Here is a 17903-nt window from a genome sequence, read left to right as displayed (position 1 = left end):
TAACGGGGGCAAGAATGGGGTGGGAGAAGACTCACTTTCATGGAAAGGCTCAAAGACAGGGGTGGCTCACAATGAACTCAGTATTTTCAGTAACAATGGGATCTACTGAATGTTACAGTAATAGATTGGAGATTTGAAGCCAGGTTTTTTGGAATTCTTGTCCACTGTGATATCCCTCTAACCAACCCGTGTCTATAAGGGAAAAAATACAATCAAATTTGAGAACACATGCAATTCCCTGAAGACTTATTTGCAATCTAAGTGGAAGGACAGGCTTAAGAAACAGAAAAGCTGTGTCTGCCCATACCTACAGTAAGTAAGTGATTAAAGGTTTCTATCTGCTTGGCAGGAGAATGAATTCAGATGCTAAAATAATTCTTTTTTGGGGAGGAGGGGATAAAGAGGGATGAATAAAGGACATAAAAATATAGTTAGAAGCAATAAGATCTAATGTTTGGTAACACAATAGGGTGAAATAAAATTCTTCGGTTAATCTTTTAACTAAGGCATGAGCTCACAAAGTAAGGCTGCTGTGTACTTACAATGGTCTCCCTTCCCCCAGCTTTTTTACTAGGATCTTAGAATACAGGAGACATCTGGGTCAGAAATAGTATAAATACTGACCTGCAAGGAACAGCCTGATGAACCAAAAGACCTCTAAAATGCACTTCTAACCCTACGGACACAATATTTTACCCAGAGGACAAACAGCAAGTAAAAACAATGTGGAGATAAAATTTCTCGGTAGACAGAGAGTGCAATTGCAAGGGAATTTAATTTCCCCCTGAACCGAAAATGAAACCCAAGACAGTAAGTGACTATATAAAGAGAACACTGCTTTCTAAGTGTTGACATCAGTAAGCTCTTTCTCCTCCAAGTTTGGATTTTCACAAAAAAACGAAAAAGTTTTCAAACAGCTTCAGTGATTCATTGTATATTGCCAACTGTGTAACTACTTTCAAGAGCAGGACTTAAGCTGTCAGAAACACAAACCCATAAAGCATTGTGGTCCTTCATTTTCTTTTCATTTCTTTTCATTGGTTTTACAAAAGTTAGTTATTTTTTGGGTAAAGAAATAAAATGTTCAAAATGTCACAACTACTGCCTACTGTTCTTAAATCCTAAATAAAACCTGTCCTCCAGGGAAATAATTGTAAAGCTTATGAGGCTTATTAAAAATTTTACACTAATTACCTGGGAACGTCTTCCCCAAATCAGACACACAAGCAAACACCTCAAATCAATCACCCAAACAAAAACCCCAAACAGAATAAGATGCAGTAATAAAAATGATGAGGATGGGACAGGCGTGGTGGCTCACACCTATAATCCCAGCACTTTGGGAGGCCATGACGGGTGGATCACTTGAAGTCTGGAGTTCGAGACCAGCCTGGCCAACATGGCAAACCCCACCTCTACTAAAAATATAAAAATTAGCCAGGTGTGGTGACGAGTGCCTGTAAACCCAGCTACTCAGGAGGCTGAGGCTGGAGAATCACTTGAACCTGGGAGGCAGAGGTTGCAGTAAGCCAAGATTGCACCAGGGCACTCCAACCTGGGTGACAGAGTGAGACTCTGCCTCAAAAAAAAAAAAATGACTATGGAAAGACAGCAAAAACAACCAAACCCTTCTAAAACTAGGGTTACTAACTTCCTGAAGACCTCTATGGTGATATGGCAGAATTCGAAAGGAAAAAAAAAAGTATATGTGTTTTTGTGTCTATAAACAGATATAGGGAAATCACCTAATATACATGATTAATGATTCCAGGGATAGAAAAAGCCAGAAAACATGATGCGAAGTTTAGAAAATGATCATTAGTTTTCATGGAGCCCACAGATGATACAACCATATCCTTTCGGCTTCTTGAAATCACAATGAACCCATAAGGCCAGGGAGAACTGTCAACTTCTCAACTTACTTTACTCAATGCCATCCTGTCCCACCATCAAAGCCCTTTATAACCCCACCACACTTTGAAACATCTTCGCAGATAACACAGTTCTCAAAATACAGGTAATCACTACTCTATAGTCTCCTTCCAAGTACTAGAATTAGAGATAGAGGAGGAAGAAGTGCTAAAGAGTATACCAACAATAACAAGAAGAACAGCAGAGTCAACAATAACAATGTAAAGGAACTTCATGAGTTTGGTGAGGGACATGATGATTTTGAAGCTGCAGGGAAAATCCAACTTGGACAATACAACCAAGTATGGAGACTCACCAGTATATGGAAGATAATCAAACCAGAAAGTGGAAAAAATTATCATGAACAAGAGCATTTTTTTTCATTTTGTGTTATTTTAAATTGATTACAAAGACACGGTTTTGCTTCCACAGACACCTGACCTCATTGGCTAAGTGACCTAATGCAACAAAATTTCGGAAGCATCTCTTTTATTTTTGCCATATTTCACTGATTCTAAAGCAAACGTTTCTTCACATTTTCATTCTTTTTTTTTCTGGTTTTTTTTTTGTTTTGTTTTGTTTTGTTTTTGTTTTTTTCAGATAGAGTCTCACTTGCTTGCCCACGCTGGAGTGCGGTGGTGCGATCTCAGTTTAGTGCAACCTCTGCCTGCTGGGTTCAAGCGATTCTTGTGCCTCAGCCTCCTGAGCAGCTAGGATTACAGGTGAGCACCACCACGCCCAGCTAATTTTTTTCTATTTTTAGTAGAGACATGGTTTCACCATGTAGACCAGGCTAGTCTCAAACTCCTGAACTCAGGTGATCTACCTGCCTTGGCCTCTCAAAGTGCTGGGATTACAGGTGTGAGCCACCGCGCTGGGCCTACATTTTCATATCTTGGAAATTGGAATGCCTTTGCAATCAATAGCGGGACAAAATTTATTTGGTAACCTTTCTTCTCAATGGTGACACACACGTAAGGTGCTTCACTGGGCCGGGCGCAGTGACTCACGCCAGTAATCCCAGCACTTTGGGAGGTCGAGGTGGGCAGATCACGTGAGGTCAAGAGATCGAGACTATCCTGGCCAACATGGTGAGACCTCGTCTCTACTAAAAATACAAAAATTAGCTAAGCGTGGTAGCACACGCCTGTAATCCCAGCTACTCAGGAGGCTGAGGCAGGAGAGTCACTTGAACCCTGGGGGCGGAGGATGCAGTGAGCCGAGATCACGTCACTGCACTCCAGCCTGGTGACAGAGCGAGACTCCGTCTCAAAAAAAAAAAAAAGAAAAAAAAAATACTTTCACTGGACAGTCAACAGTATCCTTGATGCATGAAATCTCGTTAATAACTTTCACTTTTCTCAAGTCCATGTGGTTTGTGATTCTTGACAGCAAACAAATCAAGAGAAATCATTTTATTTTATTATTGGGTTAATAAAGTCAACGTTCATTCTCCAATGCTGCATTGAGTAAACAGTATCCATTTCTAGAATTTCTCTAAAATAAAAATTGCATGACTAAGGCCGGGTGCAGTGATTCATGCCCGTAATCCCAGCATTTTGGGAGGCCAAGGCAGGTGAATCACCTGAGGCATGAGTTCGAGACCAGCCTGTCCAACCTGGTGAAACCCAGTCTCTACTAAAGATAGAAAAATTAGCTGAGTGTGGTGGCAGGGGCCTGTAATCCCAGCTACTAGGGAGGCTAAGGCAGGATAATCACTTGAACTCAGGAGGCAGAGGTGGCAGTGAGCCGAGACTGTGCCATTACACTCCAGCCTGGATGACAGAGCAAGACTCCATTTCAAAAAAAATAAAAAAAATAAAAAAATAAAATGCAGAAGTAGATTTAATGCACCATCCTGGACTTTGTCAAGAAAGTCTCCAGGAATCACTGTTACGAATACTGAAAGGTACTATAGAACTCAGCTGTTATTAAAATGGGTTTTGTAAATTCTTGGTTTTGACTCATGAGCATGCTTCGGCAACCCCCCGAAGGCTTGTTTAAATCAGAGACACCCAAACCCTAGAGCTTCTGACTCAGTTTGCCTGCAGCGAGGATAGAGAACACGCGTCTGTAGCAAGTTTCCAGGTGATGCTGACGCTGCTGGACTGGAGACCACATCTGAAAAACCACAGTTCTAGTTTTCTGAAGTGATGGCTCAGTCATTGGGAATTACTACCTGGGAATTAGGGAAGGAGGAGGCGGTCCAGTCAGAGCTTGAGACTTTCCTCCTTCCGTTTCAGTCAGAGCAGTCCTGGTTTGATCTGTCTCTGTATCAGTTTCTGCAGGAGATTTCATATTAAATAAACGTTTTGCTGCTTTTCTAAAACATGACAGTAATTATTGAAATGAAAACAACCAAAGCTTTAGAATAAGATAGATCTGGGTTGCGGTCTCAGTTTTACGATTTAACACTTAATATTTGCAGGGTTTTTTTGTTTTGTTTGTTTGTTTGAAAGAGAGCCTTGCTCTGCCATGCAGGCTGGAGTGCAGTGGAGCACTCTGGGCTGACTGCCACCTCCACCTCCTGAGTTCAAGAGATTCTCCTGCCTCAGCCTCCCAAGTAGCTGGGACTGCAGGTATGTGCCATCACACCTAGCTAATTTTTGTATTTTTAGTACAGATGGGGTTTCGTCATGTTGCCCAAGCTGGTCTGGAACCCCTGGCCTCAAGTGATCCACCACCTCAGCCTCCCCTAGTGCTGGGATTACAGGTGTGAGCCACCACACCTGGCCAATTTAGTTTTTTTTGTTTTTTAATCTCTTCAAAATGGGGGTAATAAAACATATTTGAGGTCTTATGATAATGTAACAGATGATGTACATGTAACATGTCATCAACACAGTTCCTTGCAAATGGTAGGTACTTAACAGTTTGTAGCCACTAATAATAAGAATACAGTACGATCCTTGAAGGCAGAGACTTTACTGTCCTCACTCCTTTTGTAGACAAGTGGTTGCTTGCATTGACTGAGGGCAGAGCAACTGTTGTCAAGTGACTTTGGAAGAAGCTGCCAGGTCCCCAGCCCTGGTTAAGCAAGGCTCAGAGCTGCAGTTGCTTCACAGTACCCAGAGTTTGGAAAGCTGGACACATACTTATTGCCACGCTCCCTGGGTCCCTGGCCTCTGCAGCATGGCTGACTGCACATGAGCCAGGAAGCATGCCCTGTGAGCAGAAGGGGCCTCGGAAGCAGCTTCTGTCTGCAGTAGCTCTGCTCGGTCGAGCATCAGATGCCTCTCTTCTTCTGCAGCGCATCGCAGGTGCTTGCATAACACAGCAGCCACCGCTCTGCAGTGGATGCTTAACAGGATCAGTTTGTCAGAAGAACAAAAAACACCCCCTCCTTGTGTGTGACTCCCCAGTTTTCACAATCTCCCCATCTCCTCTGCGCTTTGGACCGTGGCAAGTAGCAACGTCATTTGTACCTGGGGTAAAGATGTTCCCCTCTAACTTAAGTCTCAGCTTTTATTAAAAACATTTAACATTTTGGCTACTACAAAGGACATTAATTCCTAGGGGGAAAAAAGAGATAATAATAGAGAAAAGAAAAAAAAAAACCTCTTCACTAACCCATGTATTTTCAGCTCACAACATCTATAAGAACTGTAGAAAACTTTTGGACTCTATCATTCTTAGAAACTATTTTATCTCATATTTGAACAGCCTGGATGTGGGAGGCAAGGTTTCAATACTTACTACAAAGATAGAAATCTAGCTTTGAAAAGTTCTGAACACAGAGTAGAACAGCTTGAGGGTGTTACTTCAATATTTTCTCTTAAAGGTAAGCTGAGCAGTTACATATGGCAGTGTGCCGTTTAGGAAGATCCCTTTACACAACAAGTTATAAGTAAATATTCTTGCAGATGGGTGTCTAAGAGAAAGCGGCTAGTGCAATCAAATAAAATCTTGTACAATGTCTATGAACCAACACATTAATTAAGTTGATTGGATTTTGAAATCTGTGATTTTAAAGGCTGTGATTTACTTGATTATACTCTTTTACAAACAGATCTGCCTTATTAACTCATTCAAATTCCCAGGGGCTCCAACAAAAAGTAGCATTAAGCAAGCAAAAAGAAGGTCTAGGACAACTTTAAAAAAGAAAACCCATAGTGTAGCAAAGCGAGATTTCTAAGCTAAGTACTTTCTTTCTATTGCTTAGGTTCAGAACATTAAACGTATCTTTAATATAAATGGCTACCTCCCCACCTCTGCCTTAATGATCTGCTTGATATATACTGTAGCCATTCATACTAATTACATCATTAATAATGGTTTGAGAAGCCATCTATGAATACAGCAATGTCAGGAGACATATGGGTTATCTAGAATATCTGCAGATTGGACTTAACAATTCACAATCTCACCTTTAGAAATGGCAATTTATTGATTGCTAAAGCAGGAGGGGAAGCCGCCTAAGACATCCTGATTCAATTCATAACTCCTGGTAAGTATAATGGAAAATAGGAACAGAGCAGGAAGATGGTTGTTCACTCCTGGGGGTGAACATAAAGCCTCTGAAAAGGGGCAAAGAAACAGAGAATTGATACCCCCCAGGAATGCCACTTGCATCCTGGTCTTGCGTTTCTGGCTTGGTAAGGAACTCGTCTCTTTGGTTGCCGTTGGTTATGTCAGACTCCAAATATCCCAAACTGAATGGTTGTTATCCATACAGCCAATGGGTACCTGCCAAGTGCTAGACACTGCACTGAGGACTCTGCAAACATGATCTTATTTATTTATTTATATTTATTTATTTTCAGAGTTTAACTCTGCCACCGAGGCTGCAGTGCAGTGGTGCGATCTCAGCTCACTGCAACCTCCCTGCCTCCTAAGTTCAGGTGATTCTCCTGCCTCACCCTCCGGAGTAGCTGGGATTACAAGCACGTACCACCATGCCCAGATAATTTTGTATTTTTAGTGAAGATGGGGTTTCATCATGTTGGCCAGGCTGGGAAGAGAGAGAATCAGAGAGGTTAGGTGACTAAACTGTAATTATACTGCTCACTGCTAAAAGTAGCCAGAATTGCAAACAACAAGGATGAGACCCAGTGCACAGGTTGTTCCTCCCCATCATCCTCTGTTCTCTCCAAGCCTTCTCCCTCTCCATCTCTCTAAGGTGGAGACTGCAAATAAATTGCCCAGTGTTGCTGGACCAAAGGGGCCAGGAAGAGAGAAGCTAGAGACAGAATTAATGAGGCATCTAAGACCATCAGCAGCCTTGACTTTCCTGCTAAATAATTTACATCTTAACCTGCAGGGAATAGGGGGCCACTGAAATATTAAGCAGGAAGACTGACATCACCATTTTTCCAGAAATGAAGTCTAGAGTCTTTGGTGATTTTAGTTTTTTTAAAAAAATTTCTCCTTTATGTCTAACCCATAACCAAGTTCCCTTCTTTTTACACTATGTCAATTAGCCAGCAGGAGCCTACATCTAAATCCTGCTATACAGCAACTCCAGCTGTGAAACTTTTACTACAGTTCTTAAGATTTTTCAGCCTCAGTTTCCTGCTCTGTAAAATAGGGAGAATAAAAGTACCCAGTATGTAGGTTGCATTGAGGCTCCAGTGGATAATGGTATATAAGCTCATGCCTGGCTCATGGTAGGCACCCAGTGTGATGTGTTAAATTGTCCCCGCAAATTCAACGTTAAGACGTTGAAGTCTTAACTGCCAACATCTAAGAATGTGACTTTATTTGAAGATGGAATATTTGCAGAGGGAATCAAGTTAAAGTCAGGTCCTCAGAGTGGGCTGTAAGCCAGTATGACTGGAGTGTTTACAGGAAGAGGAGTATGCATGTTTGGACACAGACATGCATAGACGGAAGATGATGTAAAGATACACAGGCTCTCTATGTAGCTGACCCTCTACAAGCCACGGATAGGCCTGCAGCAGACCCTTTGCTCACAGCCCTCAGAAGGAACCAATCTTGCCAACACCTTCATTCTGGACTTCTAGTCTGCAGAACTGTGAGAGTAACTGTTTGTTGTTTTAGCCACCCAACCTGTGGCACTGTGTTATGGCAGTCCAAGCAAACTAATATTGTCAACGATAGGTTTTACCCCTTCCTTTGCTCTCTCCCCACCTAGGTCCAATCTTGGGAACCTTATATCTAATTCATGCTCAGACTCCTGGCTATTCTCCTTGCCTGTGAGCTTGGGAGAGCAAATGGGTTTCATTTTGTGTGCCAGCTCTGATCATCTATAGTCACTGCCTGGAGCGCTTCACTGAGAAGCATGGTAAGACCAGCTCAGACTCAGTGGGTAAAAGTGCCATGATTGATTAGCAATGTCTGCCACAGGCATAGGAGGGGAAGGTGGAGGGTATGGGCCACGTATTTTTCAGCCCTGCCTAGGCTCTCACTGTGTATTCATCTTGAAAAACTGTTATTAGATTGAATCTCCTAATGTAGCATTTACATCTTTTTGTCACTCTGCTCAAGCTCAACAGCTTCAAGTAGCTTATTTCTGTCAACCACATAAAATGTATATAGTTTGCTGTCCAGCAATTCCAACACATTTATATATTGATTTATTCTTTCAATAATATAAGAAATACTGTAATAAAAATATAACAATAATTTTAATACAACGCAATCAAATACAATCATAAAATAATCATCGTCCAAGAAGTCAAACTGACTCTGGAACATCATACAGCTCAGTGCTCTTTTTATCTAGATTTCTTTACTGCTAATTTTATTTGGGTTGATTTTTTCCCCACCCTGCCTCTTCCAGTTCACATTTCAGACAGTCCAGAAAGAAAAACAGATTCTGGCCTTCTCCGAGTTCACGTGTCTGAAGCTGTCTAACCTGACTAGCAAGGTTCCAGGAAATCTCTCTACCTGGCCCAGCTTTTGCATCATTTGTCCACCTTGGACCAATGACCAACACAGGGGAAGAGCAAACCCTGATTGGCTGCACCTGGGTCACATGTTCATTCCTGCAACAGGGCGGTGGGTTGCAGTGACTGAAGTGGAAAGTATAATACTAAAAACCAAGGCAGTGGTCAGGAACAACAGAGGCTGTCTCTCTGGCTGCCTCGTCTACCCAGCCAACCTTATGTCTCATTTTTTTCCCCAAGGTTAACTCTGCTCTTTCCCTTCTTGTCATGTTGCTACCCCCCGGTGGAAAATTTTGCTCTTTTATACCTTAAAGGAGTACACAGATTGAGGTGGAATATCCCATGATTAGAGAACTGTGCATCTAACACCAGCCACTGACAAGAAGTAACTCGAAAGGTCAGGGGACTCTCAGGAACATCCCTAAGGAGAAAGGAGTTGAATCTGGAGGAAAATTTACTTGCATGGATGGAGGAAACAGAGGCGCTTCAAGTATGAAAGATTAAGACTATTTCAGAAGATTAACAAATAAAGAAGTAGAAATGCCACTGAACAGATAGAAGAAATGATGCAATGAAAATTTAAATAATATTTTAAAAGAAATGATCAGATTTAACTGTGAGGCAAGATTGCACATTTATGAGATAATTCAAAATGTCTCAAACCTCTTTGTAAATTTAACATCATAAATAGAACATCAAAAATGCTTCCATTCCAATGTCAAATCAGAGGAAGGGTTAGTAACAGCCAGGAACACTGTTAAGTAGGATCCAGAGGTAGAATTTACTTCCACAGAAAAGAATATTACAATTAAACAGAGACGTACAACATAGTTAACTGAAATAACACAACTGGACCTTACTTGAAGCTCCTAAAACATCGCATGACATATTGATGTTTAGTGGATGATACTGGCTTTAAAAATGATAATGGAAACTTATGTTGAATCTACCTGTATAGTGAATAATCTCATTAACCTAACTTTGTAGCAAGTAAGTTTGTAAATTGCAATTAAGGTCATGATGGGGTCATCAATCAATGATACACACAAAGATGAAAGAACAGTTTTTAAAGTAAAGGGAAAATTCTAATAATTACATACCAGAGCATCCAATAAATATAAACAGGGCAGAGAGAGAGATGAAATTAGGAAAGATAGGAGACAGAGTGTCTGAAGTTAATTATAGCAAAGAAAATTTATGGCATATAGTGTTGGGCTGCCCTTCAGAAAACTGGCTGATAAATAAATTCACTGAAAGCCAATTCCATAAAAATCAATTCATTGAATAATCATAAAAATATCATATTACTGGACAACTTATTAAAAGGGCTGATATTCTTGCAGCCGTTTTGTCAATGATTTGTCTGTCCTGCTGAAATGAAGGTCAAACTGTAATATATTCAAGCTATTAGCTCATTGGCTTTCTGAAAACTTCTTAAAAGAGTGGGCTGAAACACTACTACACGTGTGGTCAAATGGTTTAGTAATCTGGGCTTTGCTTATTAGCATTTGCATGACCTTATACAAGTCATTTTATTTATCTCAGTTTTAATTTCCTCCCCTAACATAGGGGAAAAAAAATCCTACCCTTTTCTTTAACTTGAAGATGGTACTGGGAGAACTATCAAAGATTAGCTGTTAATTTCTCTCTGATCCTTAAAACTTCAAATAGGTTTTTCCAAAACCCCTTTCTATACTTTGTGAAAAGCCCAAAGCACTTTTTAAAATTTCTGCAGATTGTCAGGGTCCTTAAACTCTCATGGGATATATCAGGTTTCCATTTCTTGCCCTTGCTGAATTTCTGTTACTTTCTGTTTCTTGCTGTTGAGTTACCTTTGAATTAAACTGACGCTAACACGAACCACAGTGACTTTCCTTGACAACACACAAACAAAATGTTCACATGAGGACACTGCATGTGTCAGTCAGGATGCGCCATGTGATGCTGTGGCAACAAATGACTCCAAAATCTAAAAGGTCCAGGAATAACAAAAGTTTATTTCTTGCTCATATCACATGTCCATCATGGATTTGGTGGTAAGAGACAGGGTGGTGTTGCTTCTCAAAGACTCTCAGCAATCTTGGATGAAGGAAAATCCATCATCTGAAATATTTCTAGCCACCATATCAGAGAGATAAGAAATTTCTAGAAACTCTTGCATCAGCAATAAAATGTTCCAGCACCTGTCACTTTCATTTATAGTTCATTAGCCAGAACTGCTCTCATGGCCTCACTCAAATCACAAGAACTTCAAGCAGTGCTCAGCAGGGAAGAAACGGAATCTTTGTTGATGAGCCTGCATGGTGACCATACAATATATTGCTTGGGGAAGTGGAAGTATTTACATTGTAGCAACACAAACATTAGCTATCACTTCTCTTAGAAGTCCTTGCATACACGCCACCATATATCTCAGCCATTCTCTCTTCTATCTGTCCTACCCTTGTGTGTCTTTCAGCTCCATCCCTCTTAGAGGCAACAACATCCTTAAATTCCTCCTATATGCTTAAGCACAATGACTCGGCTCTCTGAAACCCTTATCCCCTACTTTTTGCTAATCCAAGACTCTGTGTATGTTTTGCAACTACCATTCGCAAGATCCTAAGTTCTTAGTCTGGAAGCAATCCTTTCCCTATTCTCTTTGAATGGGTATTTTGGGGATAGGAAGAAGACTGTTAGATGACTTATTCTCCTAGTTACACAAGCAAAATGTAACTGCATGCGTTAAAGCAATTTATACAATTTAAAAGTCCTACAGAAATAATTCTTACTATATTGGAAACTTCTTTGAGCCTCTATTTTCTCACTATACACAGAGAATAGCAATCCTTGCTCTGATTCTCAGTATGGGCTTGTCCGTAAAAATGCTTTGTGAACTCTAAAGCAATATGCAAATGCAAAGACACGGTTATTGTTGCACACACACAAGACTCTGGGGCTGTGAATTCAGAAGTTGTTCCGAATTCCAAGCACTGAGAGTCGATGCTCTTTTTCCTTTCGGCCACAGTAAGTAGGCATTTTATGGTCTGATATCAAGCAGAAGTCAAGCTTCCCCACTACTCTGGTTTTGCTTGTCTCTGTGATTTAATAATGCAGTCCATATTGGAAAATGATGCAGTTATGTCAGTTATTAGAGAATTACATTTTTGTGTTCTGCTAAAGGGAAGTAAAGATTAGCTCTGCCAGATGCACACATAAAACTAGATAGAAGCATACCTCCAAGTCAACCCATCCATCTTTCTCTAGGACATGTCAACATGTGGGATTTATGAAATATGGACTGTATTAAAAATGTTAAATGCACTTTTTAAATGTAACGGCTGCAGAAATAAGATATCTTTTTTCATTCGTCTGCTTTTTTGTTTACTGTTGTTTGGTGTTATTTCTCTTCAGCGGGACTGCCTATGCTTGTTAAGCACCAGTAAATGGCCAGTTATGAAGCAAACACAAAATATACATATGAATATTTAATAAGAAACAATAGCAGAAATATAGTATGCATTTGTTGCTCCACTGGAAAACTATATTCATTATTCTACAAATTATTCTTCCATAAATACTGAGAAACTTGAAAAAAGGTCAGAATAGTGTACCCAGTACTTGGTGGGCTAAAAGCACTTTTGCATTTACACTATGATGAATGCCAATCCCACTTCCATTGCTCACATCTGAAATCCATCTTTCGGTCAGTTTTAGCAGATACAGTTATTTCATGTTTTCTTGTAATGCAAATATAAATAAGAAAAAGCACACAAATTACAATGCAGGGACTATGGGTTCTCTCTTGATCAGACGGCAGATAACAACTTCTTTGGTTCCAGCCAAGATTAAGAAATAGAACCCTAGGTGAGAAATGTACTCTTAGAAAAAAAAAATAGATACAAGTCTTTTACTCTAGTATGGTGCATCATAAAGTCCAAGGTTTCTCACACTATTAATTTTTATAGAAGTGACTTAATTTTTTGCAAACAAATATTAAATGCCTACTGTGTGCTAGGTACAGCGCTATGTGATGAAGATAAAATAGTGACAAAAACCAAGGTGGTGATTTTTGATATCACTTCATTTTTAAGAGTGACTTTGTTTCAGCTAATTTACTTCATAGAACATAGGCTCATTTCAGGGGTTGGATGGTATTAATATTATTTTTCTTTGATGGTGGAATAGTCAACAAGTCATTCATTGTCCATTGAATATGCTGACCAGGAAGCAACTGGGTGATTCTAGGACAATTCCCAAGAATAGAAAGACTGGATGTCAGGAATCTAAGATGGATTGTGTTGCTGATGCTTTTTGTTTTGCTTTGCTTTGTTTTTTTTGAGAGGGTCCTTCACCCTCTGTTGCCCAGGCTGGAGTGCAATGGTGCAATCATGGCTCACTGCAGCCTCAATCTCCGGGGTTCCTTCTGGATCAAGTGACCCTCCTACCTCAGCCCCCCGAGATGCTAGGACTATAGACGTGTGTTACTATGCCTGCTTATTTTTTTTAAATGGAATTATTATTTTTTGAGACAAGTTCCACTGTGTTGCCCAGGCTGAAGTGCAGTGACATAATTGCAGCTCACTGCAACCTCCACCTCCCCGGCTCAAGTGATCCTCCCACCTCAGCCCTTCAAGTAGCCTGGATTCCACGCATGGACCACCATGACTGGCTAATTTTTTTGTAGAGATGAGGTTTCACCATGTTCCCCAGACTGGTCTTGAACTCCTGGCCTCAAATAATCCTGCTGTCATGGCCTCCCAAAGTGCTGCTGTTACAGGCATGGGCCACCATGCCCAGATGTGGCGCTGATTCATTTAGGCTACCAGAGAAGGGGAGCTTATGGTATAAAGAAAATATAACTTCTCCTAGGTTAAAATTATTTTTATCCAGATGTGGATCAACTCTAACCTTCTCTGCTGAAATAAACAAGGTCTTAACACATCTACTATTTTCCTTAACCACGGCCTTGCTTCAGACATAAACATAATTCATAGTCTTTGCCAGAGCACTGAATTGATGTATACTGCACTTAAGGGTGATTCAAAAAATTCGAAGACTCTCAGCGAATCTTGTGTGAGTCCTGGGAAGAAGCCACACATTGCAAATGAAACCTCAAAAACCACTACCAGCTTCAGAGAAGTAGGTCATATTGGACAGGAGAGGTCAAAGCTGTGTATAAAGGACAGATTAAAATATAAATGTTTCTCTAAAAAACGCACCCCCACCATAACGAGTTGTATTGTTTAGACAACCGAAGAGTCTTCAGAGATACTGAAATTTCCTGAATTACAATAGTGATAATATCATCATCATCAACCGTAGCACTATAATAATACAAAGAAGATGATTATGTGCACAAGCACTGTAGGCATTATATGATTAAATGGTATAAGCAACTTAGGGTAACACAGTCAATTGATAAGATTACAACCTACATTTTGAGTCCTTACATTTTTTTCGCCCTGTTCTTGACCACACTTGCTCCCACTCACAACTTCTCCCCATTTTCTGCCCAACTTGGAATCATTTTTAAGATTAGTAACATGGGTTATGAAGCCAAGCTTCTTGGTTTCTAATTTTATCTTTTCAACAATGTTTTTCTTTTATTATTATTTCAATAGTTTTGTGGGAACAGGTAATGTTCCTTACATGGGTAAGTTCATTGGGTGTCATTTCTGAGATTTTGATGCACCCATCACCCAATCAGTATGTAGTCTTTTATCCCTCACCCACCTCCCACCCTTCCCCTCAAGTCCCAAGAGTACATTATGTCATTTTTTATGCTTTTGTGTCCTTATAGCTTAGCTCCCACTTATAAGCGAGAATATGTTAGTATATTAACACAATGTTAAGGAACTCGGGAATGGAAAACCATTGTAAGTGGGAGATAAGCCATGAGATGTTTGGTTTCCATTCCTGAGTTACTTCACTTACAATAACGGCCTCTCACTCCATCCAGGTTGTTGCGAATGCCATTATTTCATTTTTTTTTTTTTTTTTTTTTTTTTTTTTAGATGGAGTCTTGCTCTGTCGCCCAGCCTGGAGTGCAGTGGCATGATCTTCCACTAACTGCAACCTCCATCTCCTGGATTCAAGCAGTTCTCCTGCCTCAGCCTCCTAAGTAGCTGGGACTACAGGCACCTGCCAATATGCCTGGCTAATTTTGTATTTTTAGTGGAGATGCAGTTTCATCATGTTGGCCAGGCTGGTCTCAAAACTCCTGACCTCAGATTATCCACCTGCCTCAGCCTCCCGAAGTGCTGGGATTACAAGTGTGAACCACTTTGCCTGACCTATTTCATTCCTTTTTATGGCTGAGTAGCATGTGTTTGTGTGTGTATGCACACACCATAGTTTCTTTATCCACTTATTCACTGATGGGCATTTCGGCTGGTTCCATATTTCTGAAATTGTGAATTGTGCTGCTATAAACATGCATGTGCAAGTGTCTTTTTCATATAATGACTTCTTTTCCTTTTGGTAGATAATGGATCAACAGGTATTTCTACTTTTACTAAAAATATGAAACGCTTCACAAATTCCCATGTCATCGTTGTGCAGGGGTCACGCTAATCTTCTCTGTATCATTCCAATGTTAGTATATGTGCTGCCAAAGTGAGCAATGGTTTCCTATTTCAGATACTATGCTTCCTAGCTGTCTGACTTTATGCAAGTTACTTAATGTTTCAAAGTCTCGGTTTCCTTATCTGGAAAATGGCAATAATAAAGATCACAGAGTTGCTGCAATAATTAAGCAAGATAACACTTGTGGATCTGATTTTCATGGTGATGACGACAATGAGAGGATGATAGTGACAGTGACAATCATGATGCCATAAATACTCACATTTTCCTTCTAAACCTATGAATGCAGAGAATCTCATGGCTGGTGTAAAATCTTACACAATCCCAGTAAAAACTAGACGTGTAATATGTTTAACTCAATAGTTTATGCAGCAAAGTTGTTCTTTTTTTTAAGCTGAAAATAATTACAAGAACACAGCCATAATCCACTGTCATAGCCTTGAGGAAGTTTTATGCAATTGCAGAAGATACACATAAAACTGAAAAATTGAAAGCCTATTTGAAATAGGTAGTCATAGTGAGCACTTCTTCTTTAATTGCATTCTGCTTACATAACTCAAAGACCTAAATTAAAGCATAATCATGTCTCTAATGATTTTGCACTCTTTTTCCCCCTCCAACATAAGGAAGCTCAAGGTGTTAAAAGAGTTATGCTTTGGGACCAAGATAACTAATGTATAAATTAAAAATCCATTTCATACGTTTATTTACATAAATGAAAAAGGAGGCAAAAATCTCTACTCCTCGTTTATTCCTTCTTCACGCTTCAGGAGGAAAGTCTGCTATAGAGCTTTTTTTTTTTTTTCCAATGCATAGAAACTAAAAGTTTCTCAAGTAAGAAATACAAGGTACATATTTCAGAAGTTTGGGTGGCTTTGCATAGCCTCAGAAATGCTGAGAATATAGAACACACTGCAGTATATCTAATTATCTTTATAAGATCTCTCAAAATCAATGGCATTATACTCAAGACCAGCTGCGGCCGGGGAAGTAAAACAGAGCAAGTGTCAGGGAGGTTACTGAGAAGTATGGCTTTCTTCCTAATAGCACAATTTTTATGGAACATGGAGTCTTTGAATTGTTATATTCTGTTAACTCTTTTAAAGACCCAAACAGAATTTAACCATTTTGTTCGAAGGCATCAATTCAACTCTTATCTCAGTTATTTTATTTTTTTGCACTTTTAACTCCTGAAGGACAAAAAACACAGGTTTTGAGACACAACTCTAAATCTAGCTTACCCTGGATTATAATTTTGCTAGCAGTGACAGTGTCCAATCATTCTACTTTAACCGTTGCCACTGCAGGAATATTCAAAGTAGTTGCACATTAATTGGGTGTTTTGTTGCCGTTCCAAACGTTCTTATCTTTTTTTAAAGAATGTTTCCAATATAAACAGGAACCAGACTTTCAAATAAGAAAATCATAGGGAATTCAGGGAAGCCTGAAACCTAAAGCAAGGGGCTAATTCAGCTGTTTCCTAAGTTGAGTTTTTAGAAATAGTTCTTAAAGTGTTAAAAGGTGATCGATTAAAAAAAGAGCTATGGTCATAGTAAAGCTATTATTACTACGAGAAAGAGAAAAAGAGAGAAACAGAGAGAAGGGAGGAAGGAAGAGAGGGAGACAGACTGCAGAGAAGCAAACTACCCCAAGTTATCCAACTGGATAGATGTGTTTTATTCATTTACACAACAATTATTAAATCTCTACTATGTGCTGGTCTCCATGCTAGGTGCTGAGCACAAGTTGGTGACTAAGACAGACGTAGTACTGCTCTCACAGTTTTCCATTTGGTGGAAAAGAAAGCGTATCATATTAAAACATAACAGGTACCATTACAATTATGCTGTGAAAAGACAAAGAAGGGTATGTAACTGAGAGGCTTTCCAGAAACGATACCTACACACAATCATAATGAACAATAGGATTGAGTATACAAAGGGTTTCAGAGATCCCCATACTCTACCGAGGGAAACACACACACACACACACACACACACACACACACACACACACACACACACAGACTCTCTCCCTCTCTCAAAGAGCCTGGATTGTGACAAAGTGCCATCAGATGCGGATTTAGGACACGATAGGCTAAGCAGCAACTGCACTTTGAGGGCCACTGACAACATTTCCAGACTTGATCCTAAAATCAGCGGAAGGTAGAGTAGAAATTTCAGCAAGAATGATGGCGATCATGTAACAGAAAATCACTCTTTCTGGTATATGGAGAATAGATTAATGGGGACAAGAGTGGAGGAAGAAAGGCCAGTTTAGAAGTGTTGACAGCACTCCAGGCAGGAGGGAAGAGTGGCTTTGGCCAGGAGAATAGAAGGAGAATGGAGAGAAGCAAAAAGTTTCAGTCAGTAATTAAGAGGGGATAAACCACTGGAGTTGATCTCTGGGCATGAGGGATAAGGGAGAGGAAAGAGTCAAGAGTGATTTTGAGGCCGGGCACGGTGGCTCACACCTGTAATCCCAGCAATTTGGGAGGCTGAGGTGAGCAGATCATTTGACCTCAGGAGTTTGAGACCAGCCTGGCCAACATACTGAAACCCTATGTCTACTAAAAAT

General features: G+C 40.0%; 1 protein-coding gene and 1 pseudogene across 30 annotated transcripts in view; both read right to left on the bottom strand.

Moving 5' to 3' along the window:
- The window catches only part of RBFOX1 (RNA binding fox-1 homolog 1), a 2473620-nt gene that overhangs the window by 824078 nt on the left and 1631639 nt on the right, over positions 1-17903 (bottom strand). Inside the window, exon 1 of one of the 30 annotated variants that reach the window (XM_047434244.1) lies at positions 12520-13121. The exons of the other annotated variants lie outside the window; for them this stretch is intronic. The gene's annotated coding sequence lies outside the window, so the exon portion shown is untranslated. Of the gene's footprint in view, positions 1-12519; positions 13122-17903 lie in introns of those variants that run through there. 30 annotated transcript variants of the gene reach the window in all.
- Positions 15258-15364, bottom strand: RNU6-457P (RNA, U6 small nuclear 457, pseudogene; annotated as a pseudogene).

The sequence above is a fragment of the Homo sapiens genome, chromosome 16, assembly GCF_000001405.40.
Source record: "Homo sapiens chromosome 16, GRCh38.p14 Primary Assembly".
Taxonomy (NCBI): domain Eukaryota; kingdom Metazoa; phylum Chordata; class Mammalia; order Primates; family Hominidae; genus Homo; species Homo sapiens.
The sequence above is the reverse complement of the archived record's forward strand: the minus strand, read 5'-3'. Positions and strand labels throughout refer to the sequence as shown.